The 18,446-nt window shown below is 49.3% G+C and overlaps 1 protein-coding gene across 5 annotated transcripts in view, besides 1 other annotated feature; it reads left to right on the forward strand.

Annotated features, from left to right (window-relative positions):
* ABTB3 (ankyrin repeat and BTB domain containing 3) overlaps window positions 1,067-18,446 on the forward strand; it is a 341,209-nt gene continuing 323,829 nt past the window's right edge. For 3 of the 5 annotated variants that reach the window (NM_001018072.2, NM_001347943.2, XM_047428301.1), the window contains exon 1: window positions 1,067-2,708. In NM_001018072.2, the coding sequence (NP_001018082.1) occupies window positions 1,574-2,708 (1,135 nt within the window). In that variant the 5' untranslated portion in view covers window positions 1,067-1,573. Of the gene's footprint in view, window positions 2,709-2,760; window positions 3,269-18,446 lie in introns of those variants that run through there. The other 2 variants (XM_011537910.4, NM_001347944.1) reach the window with 2 other exon arrangements.
* Window positions 1,569-2,288: an enhancer, noted in NCBI's record as "H3K4me1 hESC enhancer chr12:107712713-107713432 (GRCh37/hg19 assembly coordinates)". NCBI's record gives its function as "activates a minimal SCP1, AML or CMV promoter by ChIP-STARR-seq in naive H9 embryonic stem cells {active_cell/tissue: H9 hESC(naive)}" and the evidence as "EXISTENCE:reporter gene assay evidence [ECO:0000049][PMID:30033119]".

Here is an 18,446-nt window from a genome sequence, read left to right on the forward strand (position 1 = left end):
ATCCAGACAAGTAACCAGGCTTTTGCAACCTAGTGTTGCAAGGGCCCAGAAATCAGCAACCACAGAAGGGGATAGAGGCAGTGGAAGCACCGAAGCCAGTCTTGAAACATCTGGGCCAGCTTCCTATAGGAGGGGATTCTAAGCTGAGAGACACAGTGTGCGGAGCTAGGAATCCCCATGTGTGTAAGATATGGTTTCTGCCTGGGTGGGTGGGGACAGACAAGTAGATGACACGATGCTATTTGACACAGGAATGCAGCTAAGCCATGCATATATATATTATATCTTTCTTTAGTCAGGAAAGAAGATTCTCCTTTGAGCAAATTTACTCCTTTTAAGAAGGCCGAGCTATTTGGAAAGATGCCCACCAGGATGGCAAAGTGGTGCTTGAGCCCTCCCTGCAGCACACGCCCAGGACTTTGAAGCAGGGACAGGGTCCTCCTGGCTACTGAAAGGAATCGAGTTAACGCGCCCTAGTGGCAGGTGGCGAATGGCCGGAGATCCGGCCTCCCAGTGGTGTCCACCGCCACGGGCCTCCGCTCGACAGGCTTATTTCCCTCCATGCTGGAGCAAACCCCGGCTGAAAGAGGGCCGCACTAATTGGTTTGCGTACCCGAAGTGGGAATAGAGAGGGAGGAAAACCATGTTTCAGGTGTTACGGGGGGAAAAAAGTGAAATGCGAACCGCAGGGGAGAGAGCGACCGTCAGGCAGACACCTTGTGAACCGCGGTGGAGAGCACACCTAGGTGGGGAGGTCACCGGCCCAACCCACCACCCTCCGGGAGAATGCGGGCAGGGACAGCAGCAGGGGGCAGCATCCACGTCTCTACGCTTGCAAGGGTTCCCCAAGTCCCTGGCCACTGCTCCCCACTTCCTGCAGCCTCGGTGTCCGCCGGGGGCGTGTGTGAGGGGCGGGGCCGCATGGGGAGGAGGGATTTAAAAAAAAAAAAAAAAAGCGAGGTAATTAGCATTCTCCGATTCCACTGGCTCTCCGCCGCCCCTGCTTTGCATACGCCCGTCCCACTGGCTGCCCGGGGTTTGCTGGGGTTCGGCAAGGTTTGCAGCCGCCACGGCCGCTGCTGCGCTCCGGTGCAGGGCAGGCTGGCGCCGAGCGAACCAGGGCCGGGAACTGGGAGCCGGGAGCCGGGAGCCAGCTGCCCGCGGAGCTGCGGCGGCGGCGGCATCTGGGGTGGTCTCAGTCCCACGAACACCGTGGCCGGCGCCCGGTGGCTACTGCGCCCAGCGGGGCTCAGGGAAGAGCGGTCTAGACACTTTTTATTTTGGAAGAAAGGGGCAAGCCCCGGCGGGAGCTTCCTTCCCGGCCTGGCTCGCTCCCCATTGCGCCCAGCTCCGGCCCGGACTCTGGAAGATGACTCCAGGGTCTGCTCTGTATATTCCAGCGGCGGCAGTTCCGGGAGGCAGCCGAAAGTACTAACAGTTGGTAGCAGCGGCTAGTGGAAAAGTGAGCCAAGGCGGCGCGGACTCGGCTCTCCCCGCGCCCCGCGGCACTCGCTGCTCCTCGCCGCTCCTTCCCTTTGGCTCCCAGGCGGCTGCAGCATGAAGTGGCGCAGCGATGGCCAGGAGAGGTAAGAAGCCCGTGGTGAGAACGCTGGAGGATCTGACGCTGGACTCGGGTTATGGTGGCGCGGCGGACTCGGTGCGCTCCTCCAACTTGTCTTTGTGCTGTTCCGACTCGCACCCGGCGTCCCCGTATGGCGGGAGCTGCTGGCCGCCTCTAGCTGACTCCATGCACAGCCGGCACAACAGCTTTGACACTGTCAACACTGCCCTGGTGGAAGACTCCGAGGGGCTGGACTGCGCCGGCCAGCACTGCTCGCGGCTGCTGCCGGACCTAGACGAGGTCCCCTGGACTCTCCAGGAGCTGGAGGCGCTGCTGCTGCGTTCGCGGGATCCCCGGGCAGGCCCGGCGGTCCCCGGCGGCCTGCCCAAGGACGCGCTGGCCAAGCTGTCGACGCTGGTGAGCCGGGCGCTGGTGCGCATAGCCAAAGAGGCGCAGCGCCTGAGCCTGCGCTTCGCCAAGTGCACCAAGTACGAGATCCAGAGCGCCATGGAGATCGTGCTGTCCTGGGGCCTGGCCGCGCACTGTACGGCGGCTGCGCTGGCCGCACTGTCCCTCTACAACATGAGCAGCGCCGGCGGCGACCGCCTGGGCCGCGGCAAGTCGGCCCGCTGCGGCCTCACCTTCTCCGTGGGCCGCGTGTATCGCTGGATGGTGGACAGCCGCGTGGCGCTGCGCATCCACGAGCACGCCGCCATCTACCTGACAGCCTGCATGGAGAGCCTCTTCCGGGACATCTACTCGCGGGTCGTGGCCTCCGGGGTGCCCCGGAGCTGCAGTGGCCCTGGGTCAGGCTCGGGCTCCGGCCCAGGCCCGAGCTCGGGCCCTGGTGCGGCCCCCGCGGCGGATAAAGAGCGGGAGGCGCCCGGGGGAGGAGCGGCGAGCGGCGGCGCCTGCAGCGCAGCCAGCAGCGCCAGCGGGGGCAGCAGCTGTTGCGCCCCGCCGGCCGCCGCGGCCGCCGCAGTCCCGCCGGCAGCCGCCGCCAACCACCACCATCACCACCACCATGCGCTCCACGAGGCGCCCAAGTTCACCGTGGAGACCCTGGAGCACACGGTCAACAACGACTCGGAGATCTGGGGTCTCCTGCAGCCCTACCAGCACCTGATCTGCGGGAAGAACGCCAGCGGTAAGTGTCTGCGCGGGTGCCACTCCCTCTCACCTAACCTGGCCAACTCTTGGCGCAAGTTTGCCTCGCGTCCCCCTCCCGCGTCTTCCCAGCCACGCGCTGCTGTCCCAAGCCGCTGAGGAGGCGGCCGGGCTGGAGGTAGCCAGAACAAGAGGTTGCCTGTTTGCTCCTGCACTCGGGTGCGCGTATTTCACGCTGCTGGTGCTGTCCCAGGTCCGGGAGCGCGAGGTTCCGCCCCCGGTGCGGGGCGGGGCGACAGCTGCCTCCAGCAGGCAGTGAGCAAAACCCAGCACCATTTTTTGGAGCAGGGTTGAGATCATTTGCGCTTAGTACATATACTCCACCCCTGCACTGTTTGTTTTGACCTTGAAGATGCCACTTCCCTGGGCGCATGAATTGGGCTCCCTAGGACTTGGGAGGAGGCGCGTTCCGCTCTCCGCAATCCAGTGCTCCCACTTCCCCACTCCCTCGGGGGGCACGCAGTGCACGGGGGAAGGAGGGGCCTGGCGGCCGTACCGGCTGAATGGTTGAAAGCTTGCACGGCCTAGACAGTCGTAAAGGTGTGTGTGGTGAGACTGGGGTGCGGGAAGACTTGTCGGTGCCAAGTTTTTCCAGAGCAGTTTTTGAGGGCTAGAGCACACAGCTGGTGGGGGCTGCGGGATGGACAAAGCCCCCAATTCCAGCCTCCCAGCTCTTGGCCTCTCCATTCCCTCTGGCAGGGAGCTGCAGCTCTCACCACTTGGCTGAAGGAGCGCCTCTGGGGATCTGGGCAGGATGGAGCTGGCGGGGGGCAGTTCTGGAGGGGGTTGTTAGTTTAGGGCGTCGTTTCCAGCAGGTTCTATCATCGTCTCTTCATGCCCCACTGTTTTGAAGGCCTGACTTGGGTAGGTTTGAACCCGCAGTTCTGTCCTTGAAGGGGGTGGGGCCGGGGCGCTTGTTTTCGAGAGCTCGCGCTGGCGGTGCTGCCCGTCTGCGAAAGCCGGAGCTAGACACTTCAAAGCTTCAATTTTCCACAGGAAATGGTAGAAACGTAACTGGAGACTCTAAAGGCGAAATAAAACTTTGTTACATATTCGGCGGTTTGGCCAGAGGTTGCGCGGTTGGAGCTGAAATGCAGTCTTTCTGGGCAGATTTCATTCATGTTGCTGCCTGTCTGTTTCCCGGGGGCTGGAGGAGCACTGCGGTGGGCGGTGCCAAGGGTGTGCATGTGCGTGTGAGAGTCTGTGTGCGCGCGCGTCTGTGCGTGTGTAAGTGTGCTTGTGAGTGTGCGCAGGAACAAGCGGGCGCGCAGGGCGCCCGGCTCCAGCCGAAGCCTTTGGAAACCGACCCTGCCGCCCTCGGTCCCTTCACCTGGATTTGATCGTCAGTGGGGGAGGGGAAGGAAGGAGCAAAGCGGGTGTGTGTTTGTGTGTGTTGGGGAGGGGAATCCGCACTGATCTCGGAGACTCTTCGGGATCTCTTTGCCAGAGCCCTTCCCCGTCTGCTGCCAGCCAGGGCACAACCCTCAAAGAGAGGATATCTTCGAGGCCACACACACACACACACACACACACACATCCTGAAATATCGACTAAGATGGAAACATCTGGGGAGAAGGCATTGGGCTTTGTATGTGCTTCTTCAGAATGCGGGGATTCACCTGCAAAACCTGGGAGCTTTGGACTGGATTGCTCTTTGTTTGAAACCCTACCTCCACCAAAAAGCACAGAGGGGCTTAATTTCCTTCCTGGTGGCTCCCATGACAATCATCTTTTACTCTTTGCTGCCCCTGACTCCCAGCTCCTTACCCACCTTCTGGGCCTGGAACCTCTTCTTTTTTCTCCCTCAGTATTTCCTTTGGAAGGCTCTAGTGTGGAAATCTGGTCACCCTGCCCTACTTCTGCCTTTGCCATTATCCTGAAGTTGTGAGTTTGGACAAGTCACTTTACATCTTTGGGCCTCAGTTGCCTCATCTGTAAAATAGGGGGCTAGATATGTAATACACCCCCAGGTCCTCTTGTAGCTCTGTGGTAGTTGCTTCTATATTTTTTCAAATAGGTTTTACTTTTATGAACCTTAACAACTTTTAAAAACAGTTTTTGTGTTTACCCTTTTTGGAGGAAGTATAATTTAAGGAAGGAGAAGACCACAGAGTTGGTTTTGGGCAGGGTGAGTGTGTGACGGTTGGGGTTTGCTGCCATCACAACCTCTCCCACACCACAGCGCTTAACTCTTGGGTTTCGGGGCCCCTTCAGCCTCCTCTGGGTATGAGATATACTATGATTTCATTGTGATCTCTTCATGCCTTTTCTTTGGGCTTGTTTAAAATGGCAGGTTGAATATGCAGAAGAGTTAAAGAATGAGTGATTAATTCCTTAGGTATTGGAATCATACATTAAACATCAAACCTATTTCTTAAACTATTTTGTACGGAGTCTTTCTGATCTGCAAGCCTTATTAAGGACAACATACCTTACATAATAGATTTTCCCTCCTTTAACTTGGTAGCATCATTTATTTATTCATTTGTGAATTCATTTGTTTATCGAAACTTATTACAGTTGCCGAATTCTAGGGTCTGAGCAAGTGCTGGGTAAGAGGTAATAACAGCTAACATGTATCCAGCAGGGCTCTGTATATTGACCCATTTGATCCCCAGTACCCATTATATACAGGAAGAAACTGAGGCATAGGGAACTTAAGTATCTTGCTTATTTAAATGCAGATAGCCTGGCTCCAGAGTCCGTACTCTTAACTCCTGTCTGTATGACTCTTTAGTGACAGATGAGTTCCCTGCCTTCAGGCATCCCACCTGCCCTTTATTACCCACACAGGTGAACAGAGACCCTTCCTGTCATATAATTCCTGAATTATATACTTTTTGTTCCTATCAAATGGAACTGGGCAGAACTGGATTTTTCATGTTTTTCTATCCCCTGCTAAGCCTAAGAGAGGCCCTAGTACACAGTTGGAGCTTATTAGATACCTTTTTGAGTTGAGCAAGCTATTGTACTGTATTATACAATGATGTCCTGAAAGAAGCTATTGCTTTTTGAGTTTCTTGAATCATCTTTGCAAGTTTTTCTACTTTGTTGTTATTGTTGTTCTAAAGAAGGGGTCTCACTATGTTGCCCAGGCTGGCCTTGAACTCCTGAGCTCAAGAAATCCTCCCACCTCAGCCGAGTAGCTGGGACTACAGGCAGGCACTGGCTCCAAGTTCTTCTTCCTTGGTTGCCCCTTCTTACTGCCATTTCTGTACCTGTCCACCTTTCTAATTTGCTGCTGCTAAACTGCCCAGGCTAAGGAATTGTGAAACTAGTCACATGGGACTGGATTCAGAAAAAAAAGATAATTGGCTCTAAAGCAAAAGAAGGCTTAGGGGCTCTCGAAAATCACATCCATGGGTTTGCTGTGGGCATGAACTTTGTGGTTATGTAAAAACTTTTCAGAACTGGAGTTTTGTGTTGATTTTCAGCTGTTTTGAAGAGCCGGGGAAACAGCTAAGGGACCCCATTGATGTTTCTGTGGAGTTTTAAAAATTTGACTTGATTGAGCTAAATAAGGAGGGGGCAGAAGTACTTCACTGTGCCTTTGTATGTGCTAGTCATTGTACCTTAAACTCCTTTAGAGCTGGCCAGTTCCTACTCATCCTTGAAGACTTGGCTTCAAGAATGAGTTGGTCTTCCTGGCTTCCTTGTGAGGGCTTCCTTGATGCAACCCCTTCTCCATTCTTATTCATCTCTGTGTCTCCTTCCATATCACTCAGCACAGTGCCTGGCACTTTGTATAACAGATACTCTCTACTGCTTGTTAAACGAATATAACCAGCTCATTCAATTTTAGGCATTTAAAATTTGCCTATCACCTGTAAAGGCAGTTGTTAAGAGAATGGCCTCTGGTGTTGGACCTCTAGGATTTGAATTTCAAGGCTGCCATTTTCTAGCTGTGTGTTCTTAGGTATGCGACCCAACCTCTCTGTCCTCCAGTTTCCTCAGCTGTAAAACAGAGGTAATAATTACAAGGATTAAATGAGATTATGTGTCTAAGCCTATTATAATCTGGTGCTGACACATGGTAGGTGCTAAAATGATGATGATAGTTGTGATAATCCAGGCACAATGGTATCTCATCTCTATCACATCCAGATTAATTCATTCCCACATGCTTAGGGTGGATGGAGCCAACAAGGCACAGAATTTTAACTGGATCCTCCTTTTTATTATAGCACCAAGTAACTCAGTACACCCACCTCAAGGATTGATGCCATGGGCACAGCCCTGTGGCCAGGGTCACAAAAAGATTGTTTTGGTCAAAGGAAAATAGCTTATTTTGGGGAGGCTGAGGCAGGAAGATTGCTTGGGGCCAGGAGTTTGAGACCAGCTGAAGCAACATAGTAAGATCTCAGCTCTACAAAAAATAAATAAATAAAATAAAATAAAATAAAATTAAGTTAGCTTATTTTATTTGCTGTACTTTAAACTTCAATGATATCTACCTTTAGTGAAGAGGCACCAGGAAACTTTCTGGATGTAGTCCCTTATGTTAATTGGGATGTGGGTTCAGAGGTATATGCATTTGTCAAACGGGGTTTCACCATGCTGGCCAGGCTGGTATCTAATGGTAAACCTAGTATTTGTGCATTTTACTGTATTGTGAAATATACTTCAGTTAAAAAAAAGACACACCAAAAAAAAAGCCATAGGCATTCTTGAATTAAATTTTGTTTTAAATGTACAATTTGAAGGGCAGACCAGAAGAGGCAGTATGGAATGATGAAAAGGAAAGGGAGAAAGACCTTACGCTTAGATCTAACCCCAAATTTTCACTCTACCATTCTCTAGCAAGTGACTTAATTTTGCTGAACTTAGTTTTCTCATCTGTACAGTGAGGATTACAAAACAAAAGAAGATGTATTTTAAAAAGGAAGAAAACCCAAACCGAACGCAATGGGCGATTACAAAGATTAAATCAGATACAGTTTATAAAAGCACCTGCCACATAGTAGGCACTCGATAATAATGGCTTCCTCAAAAAACAGATTATTCAGGCTGGAGATAACAATAATACTTGTGGGATTTTGAATAGTCTCTTTCATTTCAGGGATCCCCAATCACTTAATAAACATTAATTAACACAAGCCCTCACCTGTCAGCACGGGCTTGGAGGGTAGGTTGGTTTTCAGGTCTCTTGCTTTTCTATTGTCTCTGCACAAAATGCTTGCTCAGCCGTTTTCCTGTCCCTAAACTGGTCATGCTGTTCTGTTGAGCAGTGTTGCTGTGTTGGACCAAAAATGTCACAGAAGGAACCCATCTTCTTAAGAGGAACAACAAATGCTATCTCAAGAGCCAGCTGTAGCAGTATCTGTGCTCACAGAGCACCTTTTTAATTAACTGGCTTGATGTAAATTAAAACTTGGAATTTGGGTCAGTAGAGGGTGATTTGGTTTTCTGTGCAGACTTGCTAGTTCAGTGCTGGGGCATTTGCAAGTTGGGTGTTTTCCTGAAACATAAAATAAAAATAACAAAATAAAAACAATGAAGGACTAACCTGAAGACCTAGGGTCAAGGGTGGAGTTGATGAACTTTGAATAGAAGGAAGGCCTCTAATTCTGAGTCTGTTAGTATTTGTGACCTTGAGCCAGGCACCAAACTCATTATTACCAGACTTATTATCTACTGAGAGGTAAATACAAAATAGTAATTGACTCTGGAGTCAGGCACACCTGTAAGCTGCAGTTTCCCTATCTGTAAAATGGGTATTATAATAAACAGCTCTACTTGTATAGCTTATTATATGCCAGGCACTATTTTAAGAGCTTTATGTATTATAATCATTATAGTTACATCAGCTATGATTATTATTATTATTGAGATGGAGTTTTGCTCTTGTTGCCCAAGCTGGAGTGCAATGGTGCAATCTCAGCTCACTGCAACCTCCACCTCCCAGGTTCAAGATATTCTCCTGCCTCAGCCTCCTGAGTAACTGGGATTACAGGCATGCGCCACCATGCCCAGCTAATTTTGTATTTTTAGTAGAGAAGGGGTTTCACCATGCTGGCCAGGCTGGTTTCGAACTTCTGACCTCAGGTGACCCACCCATCTCCGCCTCCCAAAGTGCTGGGATTACAGGCATGAGCCCCCGTGCCTAGCCTCATCAGCTATTATTAAAGACAGTTCAGAAATCTCAGTAGCTTAACACAATAGAAATTCATTTCTTATACACTTAAACTCTGATTGGGAGAGGAGTGGGGTTGGAGGAGGTAGGAGGGTCATTTAGGTACCAAGCTTGATTAATGGAGAGTTTGCCTTTTTTATCTTCTACGTGTGGCCTTCAGTACCTTTCTTGGGCATTCATCCAGCCAGTAGGTAGAGGGAGACAGTGAGTGTGGAGGAGCTTAAGAAAGGTGGTACAGGCTAAGCCTGGAGGGACTTAACGTTGCTTGTGTTCACATATCATTGACCAGATGTATCATTGGCTCTCTGACCACCAATACATGTGTGCCTCCTTCTTCCTATGCACAAAACACATTCTCTTTTCCCTAAGGGAGGAACCCACATTTTTTCTGATCCCTGCTTCCAACTTAAAGTTCAGAGTCATGGATAGTCCTATCCATGAAGCTGAGTGTGGCACCTCACCATGGTCCAGGGACCCATGAGGCAAAACAAACATATTATCTGCCACTCTGCATTCATATCCCACATCTGAGCAGGGTGGGATAACCATCATGAAACTCCCATTTGGAAAAGATAATCATGGAAGGTACATACACAGCAGTCACTGGTCCTCAGTAGTGATGAAATCTTGCCAAACAAGCATTGTGGGGTTGTATCCTAGCAGTGGGTGAAGTTCCTGGATTAGGTCCTGATTCTTCTCCTGATGGGAATTTACTAGTTCATTGTTCTCCACCCTCTCAGCTGTGCTGGTGGGAGGATTTTCTTTGTTATTTTTCGTGGCCACACCTGAAGTTGGTCGTGGGCAGTATGGCCTTCTTGGGGGCTCTAAATCTTTTGTGACCTAGTTCTTTCCCTTGAACCTTTGGGGGCCCAAGGATTGTTTTAATGCAGTAACAGTAAAAGACTATTAAAATTAAGGTTTATAGATTTTGCAATGCAATTCCCTCAACAATTTAGTAAGACTTTCATCTATGATGTCTAATATGCCAGTAGCCACACCCAGAGTTATTTCCTAGACTTAATTCTGAAGCCCGGATTATTACTTCCTTTTCCCCACACCTGTCTTTCTCTCTAAATTTAATGGCAGCTACCTTGAGGTCATCAGGCTTAGGTGGGAAGCTTATATTCTTAATATGATACTTATTTCACTTAAATGTCTTCTTACTCTTTTGTCTTATTGTTTGGGGTTTAGACATAGTTGTCTGTTTTTACCTCTCCACTATTCCTTTCTAAAATTACTTTCAAACTGGTTAATTTAGGCCTGAGTTCTTCTCTTTCCCTAGTACCTTACTTAACTCAGCCAGGAACAGTTAGCAAACTTTATTACCATTATTTTTTCCAGTCTCTTTCTATAGAGCATACAGGCTTAGTAGGCATGAGCTCTGACTGCCAAGTTATCATAGATGACAGTTTAATGAGACATTTTACTTCTGTATCACATGGGTCTCCAGTTTTCCAGGCTCTAGTATAACCTGCTACCTGACTTCTAAGCCAATGTCACATGTTTTAAGCAGCCCACTTCTGGAACTAAGTTCTATATTAGTTAGGGTAATGCTAGCTGATGTGTCACATGAATCCTAACGTCTTAGTGGCTGAACATAATGAAAGCTGCTTTCTCATTCATGTAGAGTCCACCTGATGGCAGGGGAGAGAGGTGCTCTGTCTGTGGAAGTTGATGAAAGCTCTGCCATCTTGGACGCATAACTCCCGGAGATGTCTCTGATTGAGGATGATAGAGAATGTGGAGGATTATAATACAGTCCTGGGTGTGGGTGTGTCAATTCCTTCCGCATTCCAATGACCAGCACTCAGTCACATGGCCTCCACTAGATGTAAGGGGACTGAAAATTATGGTCTCTGGTAGGGCAGCCACCCACAGCCACAAGTCTACACTATCAGAGGGGCATAAGCATTTAATAGAGCTAGCCACCTCAACAACCTTACAAAGCAGGCGCTATTATTATCCCCATTTTACAGATTAAGAAGTTGAGGAACAGAAGGTTTAATGAATTTGCTTAAGGTGACATGGCTTGCAAGTGGCTGGCCAGATTTGAATTAGGCATTTGGCAGACTGCCTTATAGAATACTTGTGAGGAGCAAAATGACATAATGAATGTGAAACGTTGATCCTAGCATCTCATATGCACTTAATAACTGTTATCTTTATCTTTATTATTATCGATAGTATCATTCTATACTGAAAGTGGAGTGGTTTAACAGTGAATGGATGCAAAGATAAAATGTCAATCTGAATGAGTGGGTGCTCCAGGAAAATTGTATTACGTGTCTGTCTTTTCTTCTTTGCCTTCTCCTGCATTTTATCCACAGGGGGAACTACCAGTTGCTGAACCAGGGACTATTCCAGGATTTCCACACACATGACTTCATTTAATCTCCACACTCTTCTTGTGAAATGACTGTTTCTTATCCCCATTGTGCTGAGGAAGAAACTGAAGCTCAGAAAAGTTCAGCAACTAGTTCAGGATGCCACAGCTACAAAGTGGTTGAGTTGGGACTTGGGCTCAAAAGCCTGTGCGCTGAACTGCCGCAGCCCAGTGGTGAAATCTGGATCATAGGGGCCCCCAGGAGGATCCCAGAAGGACTCAAGTGCAGCCTGAGGGGCGTGTGGGGTAGAGGGCGGGGCTTGCCTTGGTGGTGGTGGTTATGGTTGATGATTGTCCTTGCGCATAATATGTGGTCGCAGGTCTTTTTTTAGTCCCCGCCGGCTTCCCCTCTCCCTGGCTGCCCCATGAGTCACTTCCCAGCTGTCCATCAGATCACAGCGTAGCCTCCTCAGCTGGAGGCCCTGGGGAAATAGCTGGCTTTATCGTCTCCAGGGACAGCTCCCCCCATACCCTGCCTAGCTGGGTGGGCTCAGTGCCATAAGAAGCACAGGCCCTCTGACAAGTAGAACTGAATTCAGAAAACTGTGACATACAGGAGAATTGATTCCATTTCTACTGCAGAGGAGACTGAGGCTGGTCCTCCCTGAGAATCACAGAGCTGGGTTTTTCCCAGACTCTGGAGTTAGGTGGACCAGGGTTCAAATTCTGGCTCTATTGCCTACAAGCCAGGTGATCTTGGGCAAGTCAGTTCATCTTTCCCAGCCTCAATTTTCTCGTCTGCTTAATAAGGGTAATGGTAGCGCTCCCTCATAAAGAAAATGTCGTTGAGAGAATAAAATGAGTTAATTCATATAAAAGTCTTTAGAATAATATTGGACACATCATAAGTACTCAATATCTGTTAATAATCATCATCATTATTATTAAGTGCTTAAGCAGTGCCAGCCTCCTTGCTGAAAGAACTGCTCCCTGGATGCTGCCTCATTTACTGAGTGACTGAAAAGCCTTCTATAGTTTGTCAGTAAACAGACTTCTGGAGTTTGACCACTTATTAGCTGTGTGATGTCAGGCAAGTTACCTAACCTCTCTGTGACTCAGTCTTTCCCTTTGTTACATGAGAGTAATAGTGAAAACTAATTCTGAAGGCTGTTGGGAAGTGCCTGACATGTAGAAATTGCTTCATACATGTTGGCTATTGTGGGGTTTTATTATATTCATTATGACTGTTTCTATAGGCACTGTGTTAAATGTTGAGCAACACAGTCCCTGTGCTCATGGAGCTTGCAGGCCTGTGCTGGGTTTAATTTATTCATCAAAGAATTATGCAGATGTAAATTTACAACTGGTGACATGTGCAACAAAGGAGAGACATACAGGCTATTAGAGTCTTTACCACAGCTCTTGATGTGGTTGGGAGTAAGGCTTCACTAAGGAAATGGGGAAGTGAGGCTTGAGTGAGGCTGGAATGAGGCTGAAGCATGGCCAAGTTGGTGGAAAAGGTAGGAAGAATACTTGGTGAATGCGAACTGCATGTGCAAAGGGCCTGTGGCAGGGGAGAGCATGGGGGGAAGGTAGAATGGCCACTGCAGCTGGAATGGGAGAGGGTAGGGAGGGAGCCTGGTAGAGGTTAGACTAAGCATCTGCCAGATTAAGCAGGCTTTTATAGAGGGCACTGGAGAGCCCTTGAAAGCTTTTAAGGAGGGAGATGCAGTGATCAGATTTGTGTTCTAAAAAGATCATGTTGGCATTAGTTCAGAGAGCAGACTGGAAGGGTGAATGTGGGAAGGCTGGTTAGGTATTGTCATCATCCCCATCTTACCCAAGAAGAATCTGAGGCTGTGACACATTAAGTCACTTGCCCAAAGTTGCTAAGACAATAAGTAGAGAACTCAATTTAAAAACAGAATTTAAGTCTGAGGGACTTCAAATTTGACCTTCCTCTCACCATACCATGCCTCATTCCAAGGGAGTATCTGGTTTAACGCTCACATTTTACAGATGTGGAAACTGAGGCCCAGAGTGGGCTACTGTCTTGTCCAAGATCACACAGCAGAGCTGGAACCGGTATCCCAGGTTTCTGGATTTTTAGAGCCCATCTCCCATCCACAGTGATGTATTGTCTCCTCTAAACCAGATCACTCGTGGGAAGCATAGTGGGATGAAAGCCTGCATTGTTGACAGCAGTTTGGAGATTAATTTACGATCCTGCTGTAATATCTCCGGTTTTGCTATACATCTCACAGTAAAATAAATGCTAGTCTGGAAGCATGTGGAGGTCCCCATTACATCGTGGCTGAACCACTGAAAGCAATTACTGTGAAGATCAGGTGTGCTAAATGCAGAATCAAATTAACAGTTCCCCTGTGCATTCATATCTAAAAGCAAATCAGAGAGGAAGCTTTGAGGAGGGGTAAGTGAAATCTTAAAGTACAGTGCCTGCCTCTGAGGTTGAGGCTGCATGGATTAACTGATTTTCTCTGGGTGGTATGTGTCATTGTTCCTTCCTAATCCCAGCTCAGGTTACCACCCAGAGAGTCATGAGGTGCACAAGAAGCACACCAGACTTAAATTACCTTTCTTTCTCTGGATGCTTCTGAGCATTTCAAGTACTGGGAACGTGGCACAGCCTTTTTCTCTCTCTGACTCCTCCCTCAGCCCCTTTCAGCCTTCTCTATACTGACTTTGAGGTTTAGGGGCTGGGCTCACCCTCGTGAGCAAAGCCACAGGTGCTTCCCGCCCTCATGGAGCTTGCAGGCTTGAGGCGGGTTTAGTTTACTCACAGATAGTCACACAGATGTCAAACTGCACCCATGACAGTTGCTCCGCGGGAGAGGTTCACGGGGACAGGAGTGTTTGATGGGGACAAAGCCTCCTTAGACTGCGGGGTGAGGTCCAGGGCGGTGCCTGCAAGGAGGGGAGCTGCCCCTTCCTTGGGCTTCCGGGGGGACCGGGGACACCAGGCATTCAGAGGTGGAAGGCTCCTTGTCAGCCTCCTCCACCTGGTGCTGGTGGTGACACAAGCGGTGGGGAAGCCTGCAGGGATGGGGTGGGTAAGAGTGTGATCTGTGCACAGGTGATTGGAGCTCCTCCTTCCCACCCGGAAGTCTGCACCACCAGGGCAGGCAGAGGGCGGAGAGCAGGGAATCTCATCCCCATGTCAGTGCCTCTGATTCTGCTCAATCTCCTTCCCTTTGGAAGCCCTCCCCACCCTCGTCCTGCTCCTGCCATTCTGCGGCTGCCATTGTTGGGGCCAGATGATAGGCCTCTGGTTCAGCTTGCTGCGGCAGCCATGGTGGATGGAGGGCAGGGGCCTCCCCCCCGCCCCACCTCTCCCCACCTGGGTCCGCTGGCTGCTCTCGCTGATTCGGCTGCTGCTCTAAGTTTTCTCTCTCCCAGCATGAGAGCTATGGATTAAGGAAACAGACCAAGAGTGAGCTGGCACCTTCACAGCCTCTGATGGCCCCGTAATGTGGAGCCTCGAGGGGCAGCTGGGAGCGTGTGCTGGGGTAGGAATTTCCCTGAGCCCCACAGTGCATGGGAAGGCGTCACTTGGCTCAGGCCCAGGAGGGCGGGCTCCTGCTGTGTGATCTCACGCTCCTGACCTCTCTGAGCCTCATTGCCCTCACATGGGAGTTGGAAATAATGATCACACCAGGTTCTGGTGTTGATAGAGTTGGACTTGTCTAATGAGGCGATGCTTTGGAAAACCAAGAAGCCCAGCACATCGTCATGGTAAATCTGACACATTCTGACCATTTGCCACACTCCTGGCACCATTTTAGGTAATGGAGAGCATTAGCTGCTCTATGAGGCAGATATGGTTATCATCTCTGTTTTACAGATGAGGACACCTGGGAGAGATGGATAGACTTGCTCAAAGTCCTACAGTTAGTAAGATGCAGAGTGGGGACTCCATCCCTGGTTCTCGGTGCCTGTTCCTAACCACCGTGCCTTGAGGAGGGAATATGGGATGTGAGAGAGATCTGACTCAGAAATCATGGAAGATGACTGAGGAGTACTTACCCAGGCACCTGGGGTGAGTAATGTCACCCCTGTCAGGGGCAGAGAAGTGAGGCAGCTGTCCTGAGACTGTGTGGCTAGTAGCAGCAGAGGCCGGGGTTGAACCCAGGCCATCCTGCCTCAAGGCCTGAGTACACATGAGGGGAGGAGGGGAAAAGATGTGAGTCTCCCCAGGCCATGCCATGCGATGTTGTGACCCGCAGGAAGGCCCTGTTCTCCTACTGGCCCTGCTAGGGTTGGGCTACAGATTTGCCACTGCTGAGCTTCCCAGAAGCCTGTGCAAAAGAAGCAATCATGAGCCGACTCACAATTCTTTATGTGGTAGATGAGACAGCAATAAACTAGTTGCTATAGCTGTGCCTGTTGCTTAGGCCAGAAAGAAGTTTCTCAGTAGGAGACTAGAAGCCATTATTAAGCTGCATTTAGTGACCTCACATTTCAGCCCACGGTTGTTAAGGAAGAACAAGGGGAGCTGCTTCTTGATCTGCAAAGGGTCTCTCCCACCCATCCCTGCTGCTTTCACCCCCTCCCTCATTCCTTATGGGATGTCCAGTTGTTCTTTGTGTATAAACAGAAGGCAGGGGTTGGGGCAGCATATGACTCTTCCTCCTATGTTCTGGAGGAGGGTCTTAGGGTCAGAAGGTGGCCTGGAAGTGTATATCTAAGTCAGATGGTCTGTAGAGAAGCAGAGTGAGTTCATATGCTCCTCTGGGACAAAATAAGCAGACCACACATTGCACCTGCAAGTATAGTCATCAGCAAGCTGGGGTGCAAGTTTAGGGAGGCAGGAGAGAGCTGGGTGGGACCTGGGCTTTGGAGAGGTTTCATCGTTGTGGTCAGATGAGACAGCACTTGAGGGTTTAGTGCCAGAAGAGGACATGAGGCCCACTCTAGAACAAGCCGTGTTGATCTCAGGCAAGTGACTTAACCTCTTTGGACTTGTTTCCTCATCAGAAAAATGGAGATAAGAAATATACCAGGTTCTCAGAATTGTTTTGAGGCTCAAAGGAATCCTCAGATGTAGAAGTGCTCTGTAAACTGTAAAATAACCATTCATTCGATCATTTGTTCAATAGCTATTTATCGAGAGCCTACTATATACCAGGTATGGTTCTAGATACTTAGCATCCATCAGTCCATAGAAAAAAATCATTGCCTTTACAGAACTTACATTCTAGTGGGAGAGACCCTATGTACTAAACACACTGAATAAGTAAAAGTGTTAGAAGGTGACACCTGCCATGGAAAAAATAAATCAGAGTAAGGGGAATCGGGAGAGTAGGGGATGGTTGCAATGATAACATGGTCAGGGTAGCCTCACTCCAAAGATGACATTGTGTAGAAAGATGAAGGAGGTGAGGGAATTGATCATGTTGGTATCTGGGAGAAAACTGTTTCAGGCAGAGGGAACAGCCAGTGTAAGGGCACTGAGGTGGGAAGAGCTAAGAACCCATTGTGGTGGAGAAGCATGAGTGAGCCAAGAGTAATGAAAGGTGAAAGCACAGGGTCACCGTAAGCCAGGTTGGGTAGGGCCCCATAGGTCATTGTAGACTTTAGCTTTTGTTCTTAGTGAACTGGGAAGCCATGGCAGGTTTTGAATAAGGATTGGCAGGTCTGGTTGAAGATGGACTCCAGAGGAACAAGAGTGCAGGCAGGGAGACCAGTGTGTGGAGGCTCTTCCAATAGCCCAGGCAGGAGAGGATGGTGGCCTAGCCAGGGTGGTAGCAGTGGAGGTGGGCTAGGAAGAGGCTTCTGGCTGTAACTAAAAGGTGGATTCACCAAGCTCCTGTTGATACGTTGGGTGTGGGGTGTGAGGGAATGAGGGGGGTTAAGGAAGACTCTGAAGGGTTTTTGGTTTGAACAACGAGGAGGAGTTGTCTTAACTGAGACGGGAAATACCGTGGAAAGAGCAGGTTTGGAGATGGCAGGAAAATCAGGACTCCAGCTTGGGACATGCAAAGTTCGAGGTATCTTTTAGGTGTCCAGGAGGACATGTTAACTAGGCCATTGGATACTCATTTAGGAGTATCTCGGATTCAGGAGAGAGGATGGTTTGGAGATAAAAATTTGGGAGTTGAGAGCATGTGGATGATATTTCAAACCATGAGGTGGGCAAGGTCACAGCGGGAGTGAGTATAGAAGGGACAAGAAGACCAAAGACAGAGCCCTTCCTTGGGCCAGATGGAAGAGGAGGAACCAGCAGAGGAGGCTGAGAAGGAGCAGCCAAGTGTGGAGGAGAACTGGGAATGTCCTAGAAGTTAACAGAAGATAGTGTGTCCCCAAGGAGGAAGTGGTCCCTTGCATCAGGTGGTATTTGAGGTAGTTACTCCCATTGTACCCCCAAACTCTGTGAGTATTTCTGTCTGCAACCCTTGGGGACTGTTTCAGACCCCATGAAGAAGCAGCATTGAGGCCAGGTGCAGTGGCCTACGCCTGTCATCCCAGTGCTTTGGGAGTCCAAGGTGGGAGGATTGCTTGAGGCCAGGAGTTCGAGACAAGCCTGGATAACATAGCAAGACCCCATCTCTATACAAAATGTAAAGAGTCAGCTGAGAGTGGTGGCATGCACCTGTCATCCCATCTACTCGGGAGCCTGAGGTGGGAGGATCACTTAAGCCCAGGAGTTTGAGGCTGCAGTGAGCTATGATCATGCCACTATATTCCAGCCTGGGTGACAGATCAAGACCTTGTCTCAAAAAAAAAAAAAAAAAAAAAAAAAAAAAAAAAAAAAAAAGCAGCAGCATCGATGTACTTATTGGGAACCACACTAACCATAATGATTCTGAGGATATTTGTGATGTTTTCCTAAGGGGATAGAGGGAAAATGCCCTCAGTATATCATCTATAAACCATAAACCAGGGGGATTAGGCCAAATCAACGATTTTGATCTGGGTTCTCATGGATTAAGGCAGGGAGGCTTCTCACTTCCACCCTGTACACACACATCAGCAGAGTTTTTCTTCTTGTATCTGTTTTATATATACTGGGATTTTGAATAAGATGTAGAGTTTGAAGAGCACTAGCCTGGGTAATGAGCAAGTCCTTCCTGCTCTGGCATCCCATGAGGCTCTGACTACCCACGGAGCTGGGATCCCACAGTGGATGTGTGCTTTGGCTTTGACCAATGAGACAAGCTTGGAAAGTGTCCTGCTGAGTCTCAGAGAAGCAGCTGAATGAGGCTAGGCGAGTGAGGTAGGGCCAGGAGGGGAGGGAAAGAGTG

Source organism: Homo sapiens, chromosome 12 (assembly GCF_000001405.40).
Source record: "Homo sapiens chromosome 12, GRCh38.p14 Primary Assembly".
NCBI classification, from domain to species: domain Eukaryota; kingdom Metazoa; phylum Chordata; class Mammalia; order Primates; family Hominidae; genus Homo; species Homo sapiens.